This window comes from Homo sapiens, chromosome 7 (assembly GCF_000001405.40).
Source record: "Homo sapiens chromosome 7, GRCh38.p14 Primary Assembly".
Taxonomy (NCBI): Eukaryota; Metazoa; Chordata; class Mammalia; order Primates; family Hominidae; genus Homo; species Homo sapiens.
The window spans coordinates 144,029,579-144,037,300 of NC_000007.14; the positions used below are offsets into that span (position 1 = coordinate 144,029,579).

The following is a 7,722-nucleotide window of genomic DNA, read 5'->3' on the forward strand; positions in this document are numbered from 1 at the left end:
TGTAATCCCAGCTATTCAGGAGGCTGAAGCAGGAGAATTGCTTGAACCTGGGAGGCAGAGGTTGCAGTGAGCCGAGATCACGCCATTGTTCTCCAGCCTGGGCAACAAGAACAAAACTTCGTCTCAAAAAAAAAAAAAAAAAAAAAAAAAAAAAAGAAAAGAAGAAGAAGGTTCATTGTCTGTTTTCAGGTTTCAGAGACTGTGAAGTATTAATTATATCTATTTTGTTAATTATGCTATTTAGACCTCTATGTGTTTTTTCCCATAATCTGATACAGAGTGAAAACAGTTGAATTCCTCACTCCTGCTAGTTCTATGTTCCTATTACCTCTTGAGTCACTTCTAGATTTTGCTTTATAAAGGTTGACTTTATTTCATTTGAAGTTTATGTAGTTATAACTATAATATCTGCTGTGTTAATTATATTATTTGGTCTTATTACATGCTCTTATATGACATTAACTTTTTTGTCTGATATTAAGATTACAATTCTTGCTTTACTCTGATATTAAGATTACAATTCATAATTTTACTGTTTAAAAGTGTAATACTAAAGTATTGCATAGTGTCCCTAAGTACAAGAAAGCTGTGATGTGCTTTTACAGAGAAAATATAGGTGTTAAATAACCTTTGGCACACCATGAGTTCAATGTTAACAAGTCAACAATGTAGTACTTCCAAAAACAGAAACAGAAAAAAAGAAAAAGTATGCCACTACTCATGCTTTTCTTTTTAAATATTATAAATCTCTTTGCTTTAACTCTGTTTCTTGTGAACAGAGTAAAATTGAACTTTGTTATTTATATCGAAACTCTAAGTTACTTTAATAAGTGAGTTTGTCTATTTATAACTGAAATGTTTATTTTAGGATAGAGCATTGGATTTTATGTTAAGCTTGGTGGATTTGTAGCTTTAAAAAACATGTGTTGTATGTTTTATTTTTTGTGTCATTCTAACATTGAAGATTTAAGATCATTCTAACTTAAGATTTAAGTTTCATTCTGGAGGTTATGTTTTAGATCTCTAATTTTGTGCAATATCCTTAAGCTTCTGTTTCTTTACATTGAATTAATTACTTCCCACATGAATGTAATTACCTGTTATGGACAATAATGGAATTTGTCTATATACTCTTTATCCTGCCTTCCTGTCTCTCCTCTCTCATCTGATTTTAGTTGAGCATATTACCATTCTTAGTATTTATTCTTATCAATTAAATGTACTTATATCTGTTTTACTTGATTTGCCAGATTTAAGTGAAATACTTTTGCTCTCAGACATTAAAGATGAGGAAGTCAGCATTACACAATCTCCTATCTTCTTTTCTTCCATTTTTTGTCATTTGTACTTATTTCTATATTTTCAAGTCATGTTTTTGGCATTTGCATTCTGCCCTGCCAGCTAAGTCCTCATATTTACTTTCATCACAGTCCTACAAATAAAAAGATTCAATGCTCACTGCCACTTCTGTCACTGATTTTCTGGGACTGACATTCTTTGGTTTCTGTTATGTTCTATACTATTTGTGTCTTTTCATTTGTACAAACATTTGGCTGGGTAAAAAACTTGTGTGATACTTTCTTTCCTGGAGGATTTTTGTAAATGTTCCTTCACAAACTTTAGCTATGCTATTGGATATTGCTATGAAAATGTACAAATCTAGACTGACTCTATAAGTAGCTTTACTTTTGCCTAGCTAACCACATGATTCTCTCTTTATATTTTAAATTTAGTAACATTACTAGGATGTATCATTATACTTCCATTCTGTGTCAATTTCCCAAGGACATAGTTTGCCTTTTCAATATCTAGATTCATGTCTAATTTTTACTTCAGAAGAATATTCTTGAATTATAACTTAAACTACTTTTACTTTATGACTTAAATTTTCTAGAAAATGAACATATCAGCACTCTTACACCTATCTTCCACATTTTTCATGTGTCAATTTAAGAAAAAAAGACACCAGAGAAGATTATCTCCCAACAAAACAAATGTATTTGGGAGTAAATAAAGAGAATTATAATCTGGGATGTACTATGGCAAATACAGTGAGGGAAGAGTAAAGGAAAACTTTTATTGCCAATGGTTGAAGTTTACGTAAACTGCTCAGAAATAGAGTTCATTGGATTCATTGGCTCAAAGCCAGAGATATTGGTTCATTGGTGGAGATGCTATTACTCGGCAAGTGTTAAGGGAACATCTTATCGGAATTGCTGCAATCCTAAAGAATGTTTAGTGATAAACCTTATCATAAAAGTATGTGTATATATGAGAAACATGCAAGAATTTCTCGTGGGGTTATTTTTTAAAGTCCTTTAGACTGTGTGTGTGTGTGTGTGTGTGTGTGTGTGTGTGTGTGTATCTCAGACAAGTAAGCATGAGTTCCTTTCCTTCATGCCCTCCTGACCCCAATTTGTGTGTGTTTGACTGGTTACTTCATCCTGGTATCGGCAGCTTTCACATTTCCCCATTCTGATCAAGATCTTTCTCCAAAAGCATTGCTAATTCATTTTCATTCTCTATTTCAATTTGGGTATACTTGCTTTTATTATTTATATGCTCAATATTCCTTTGTGTGTTTCCAGCAATGTCTCTATTCTCCTTATACCTGTTCCAATTTCAACTTTATTTCTGAAGTATTTTTGTACAAAATTTCATTTCTACTTTAAAATTTGTGTGATCATACTTTATTTCTTTTTTATTATACTTTAAGTTTTAGGGTACATGTGCACAACGTGAAGATTAGTTACATATGTATACACGTGCCATGTTGGTATTTATTTCTACTACATCAAGATATTTGAGTATTTTTGAGTCTCTGCAAAGTCTTGAGTCTCTGAAAGCTCTTCTTATTTTGTAAAGAAAAGGGCTTCCTTTCAGAAGTGTTTGCCTACCACATTCATCTGTATTGTAAAACAAAATTCTCTTGTGATTTTTTTTAATCAGCCATTAAGTTTTCCAGCTTTTTCCTTGTAGAATAATTTGTAGATGCAGATATTCTCTTTATTTACAGATTCCGTATTTGTAAATATGCCTACTTGCTAAAATGTGTTTGTAGCCCCAAATCAATACTCAGGCTACTTTTGTGGTTATTCAAGGGCGTGTCCAGTGTGGCAAACATTTGAGTCTCCAGATGTGCATGTTTCTGGCTGAGATCAAACAGGACAACGCTCTGTCTTCTTGGTTCAGCTCTCAAACTGTAAACTAGCGTTCTTTCTGCAGGCTACCCCGGTGCCACATTTTCCATGTTCTTGTGCTTTTTGTTGATAATTTTACTGTTTAAAATGGCCCTCAAGTGTAATATTGAAGTGTTATACAGTGTTCCTAAGCACAAGAAAGCTGTAATGTGACTTTACAGAGAAAATAAATGTGTTAGATAACCTTTGGTACCGATTTAATGTTAACAAGTGAAAAATACAGTACTTCCAGAAAAAAAAAAAAGAGAAAATTTACCAATCTGTATGTGAGACTACTCAAGAAAGTGCTAAAGTAGCAACTATAGTGTGCTATGAAGCTATGGCAGAGATGAGTGACTAAATGTGTGCATGCATAAAATAACAGCTAATAAAAAGAAAACAAATAACAGTCACAACAGCAAAACCACAGTGGGCAGCACTATTGTGAGGTTGAAAGCCAAAGAAATTTATGATCATATTATCTAAGATCAAGAAAATCTTAAACCCTTCTCAGCTAGTGCTGGCTGGGTCACATGTTACCAAAGGAAATGCAGCATGGAAAATGTTAAACTTGCAGGAAAGATAGGTTCTGCAGGTAAGAAAGCTGGAGAAGAATTTTTAAAATAAAGGCTAAGTGTTATACAGAAAAAGGATTACATGGACGAGTTGTTTTTCAACACTGATGAAACCAGCTTGTTTTACAAGGATATTGGCAAAGGAACTCATATAATGTGAATGCAAATTGTATTTAAGTTGATGAAATGCTGCTGTGAAAGGTTTGCAGGACTGTAACCCTGTATTTATTTCCCCTAGGAGCAATAGCTGAGGTTTTGTTAATTCCCCTCAGAGCAATAGCTGAGGTGATTGTATAGAACATAATCCCTGTAAATAACAAGAATTACATTATTCTGGTTTTCTTTATTTTTAAAGCAGATGACTTTATTCCCCAGACAAGCATGTTTCCAGGGATTTGTATGATGGAAGAGCCAAAACCAACAGAACATTTCCTTATGATCCAGGGTTTTCAGTGTGTTTGAGCTTTACTTTCTCACAGCCAGGGAGAGTGTGCAACTTCAGGTTTTGTTGTTGTTGTTGTTGTTTTTAACAATAAAGAATATCTTCTTTTAGCCTTTTCTACAAAGATAATCCTTTTCATGCAAATGACACTTGCGGCATGGCTCCATATTTAGTCCATCTCTTCTACTTTCTGATCCAAGCCAGCTCCCTGGATGATCTTCCAAGAAACATTCCAAGCCAAATTCAGTAATTGCTTTAGCTTACTGCGTAGAGAGAGGTAGAGAGAACTCACCCTGTGGTCTCATGAAGTTCAGGAGAAACAGTTCAACTTCCTAAATGCTAAGCTGATTAGTATTAACATGGCAAGGTACCAGAGGAGAAAGACATCTCAGAGAGATCGAGTTAGAGATAGAGAGAGACAGACAGAGAGAGAGAGAGAGAGAGAGAACTTTGACAGAGAGACAGAGAGAGAGAGAACTCCAGATATCTTCAGAGAGTTCTCCTCAAACCTGTGGCTGAATACTGATCAGCCCATCTCTATAAGAAAACAAATGTGGCTGGGGAAAAACCATCAGAAACAAACAGGGAACAGTTATTCTCAGAGCTCACACCAGGCCAGGAAGAGTTCATGTCCCCATCAGCTAGAGTGAAACACCTCTTAACATATGGCCATTGAATAGAGTCCTGGAAAGTGGCAATAAACAATGGCATCAATAGTTGGATTCAATGGTGGTAATAAGAATAACCCCAGATTAAAGACTGCTGTGGGCTTAACAAGGATTGCTAGCAAGCCCCAAAGGTCATTCTTAATGGGAAATTATTAAGTCTTTCACTTTCACCATGTGAAGGGGTTGCTGCTTATTCCTAGTTTGATGGAAGTTTTATTATGAGTAGATTAATTCAATTTTTTTTCCTTTCTATTGTGAAATTTTTAAATATATAGAATTTTAATAGAATAATATAATGAACACCCATATCTCCTTCTACATTAACTAATTCTTAATTGTTAATATTTTGACATTTTCTATATATTTATTATCCATTTATATTGCTTCCTCTTGATACAGATATAGATGTAGATATAAGATATAAATACATCAGTGGATATATATATTATATATATGCTGAATCACTTAAAAGTACGTTTTAGACATTGTGAGTAAATCTTAATAGAATATATGTACACGTACATGCACACACACACACCCCTATATACCACGGAATAATTTAGCAAGTATTTTCTAAGAACAAATATTAAATACAATATCATTATCACACTCATGAGTTTAACATTAATATGATAACACTATCTAAAAATGCCTCTTTGGGTTTCTATCTTGTTATTCAATTCAGGATCTAATCAAAGATTGTTTCAGAGCATTTAGTTTCTTACCTGTTTAGTCTAATTTTATCTCAAACCATTCTCTTACTCTTTGTCTTTCATGTCATTGGGATTCTTTGAAGAGTGCAGTCTACTTGTTTTGTAGAAGGTCCTGAAATTTGGAATCCTCATATCCAGATTCAGATAAAGCTTTTTTGGAAGTAATTCTACATAGACATGTTGTATGCTTCTCAGTGCATCACATCAGGAGACATATGATGTCAGTGTGCCCCATTATTGATAATGCTATTTGGTGATTTGTTTAAGTGTTTTCCACCATTTCTTCATTGTAAGGGTATCTTCTCCTTTGGGAATTCATAAGTACTCTACAGCATGAATCTGGGAGACTACCTGAAGATCCTGTCAGAGGTGTTTAAACCAGAGAAACTCTATCTTGAATAGGGGCTGTGTAAAATAAGGCTGAGACCTACTGGGCTGCATTCCCAGGAGGTGAAGGCATTCTTAGTCACAGGATAAGACAGAAGGTCAGCATAAGATACAGGTCATAAAGACCTTGCTTATAAAACAGGTTGCAGTAAATTAACAAGCTAAAACCCACCAAAACCAAGATGGCTACCACCTCTGGTCATCCTCACTACTACACTCCCACCAGCACCATGACAGTTTACAAAAGCCATAGCAACGTCAGGAAGTTACCCTATTTGGTCTAAAAAGGGGAGGCATGAATGATCCACCCCTTGTTTAGAATATAATTAAGAAAGAAACACAAAAATGGGCAACCAGCAGCCCTCGGGGCAGCTTTGTCTAAGGAGTAGCCATTCTTTATTCCTTTACTGTCCTAATAAACTTGCTTTCATTTTATGGACTTTTCCTGAATTCTTTCTTGCATGAGATCCAAAAACCCTCTCTTGTGGTCTGGATTGGGATCTGTTTCCGGTAAAAATCCTATCTCCTAAGATATTTTCAGTCAATTATTTTAGCATCCACTGTTTGCTTGAATAAATTATTAAGTTGGCTCCAAGGTAGTCATTTCATAATTCTTTCAATTCTTTTTACATTTATTAGTTGGCATTCTTTTCTCCATATCCACCCTCCATCTTTACCTTGCTCTCTGCCCTGTAAGACTGATCTGTAAAAACTACGGCTCTGCAGCCCTCTGGCTTCCTAAGTCTGGCTTATTGGAAGCAAAGACAAGAGAAACAGGAAAGAGGGAGAACTGTGAGGTCAAGAATTTATTCACTTCCTGCAGGGTAAATATGGACTGAACCAACTGACTCTGATTCAAGTTCCTATTTAGCCAACCCTTCTACATAGTCATCCTTGTCTCCAGGTTCTAATAACAGCCATCCTCTCTTCTCATTTAGGCCTAGAGGTTGTATAGGAGTTTTATTACAAGCTCAGAATCCTGCACTATCCTGGTATCTTGCACCCTTGCTTGTGGTTTTCCCATATTCCTCTCATACCTTTGTAAATAGTCCTTTTATTAAACTTTTCTCAAATGGCGTAACTTGTGTCATTGTTTTCCTGCTATGACCCTTGGTGTTTCATTTGCTTTGCTCACTTCCTTTTATTTCTCTTTCACAAGAATCACAGCTGCATTCAATGGCTCTTCCAAACTTCTCTGGATTCCTGCTCATTTTTCCTCATGATGTTTTTACAACAAATCTTTTGGACATCTAGTCTATCTTGGCATTTGCTGCTTGGAGGACCTAGACAAACATTGTAGTTTATTAACTTCAAGCATTCCCATGCCATAGACTTTAGTTAAAGCTTATAGAAGAATTGAAAGAGTTGAATATGTTGCCATCAATTTAGTATCTATCAAGAAAGATTCTCTTGTACTAGCATTTCAATAAAGGTGCCTGAATTGAGTGTGTGTCAAGGGGGTGGTTAGACTTGGGGTTAAAAACAACTGGGAAAGATATAAGCTAGCAGCATATGTTAAAATCAGAACCGTATTAACTTGAAGAAGTTCTAACTCATATCCTTTACTCTTATGTCTTCAGTTAATGTTGCCCTGTTTTTGTCTTCCTTGCTGTTTCCAGGGAAAGAATATTCAAGGCATTTGTTTGGATGGTGGAACTAGGGTCTATGTGTAGGTCTAGAGATGGCACATGCACCTTCATGCTAAACTCTCCATCAGCAGAAAAGTGGAAAAGACTTTAGAATGAGTTTTAATTTCTG

The 7,722-nt window shown here is 35.1% G+C and overlaps 1 annotated feature.

Annotated features, from left to right (window-relative positions):
* Positions 804-1,004: a silencer, noted in NCBI's record as "peak6808 fragment used in MPRA reporter construct". NCBI's record gives its function as "represses an SCP1 promoter by STARR-seq MPRAs in K562 erythroleukemia cells {active_cell/tissue: K562}" and the evidence as "EXISTENCE:reporter gene assay evidence [ECO:0000049][PMID:32103011]".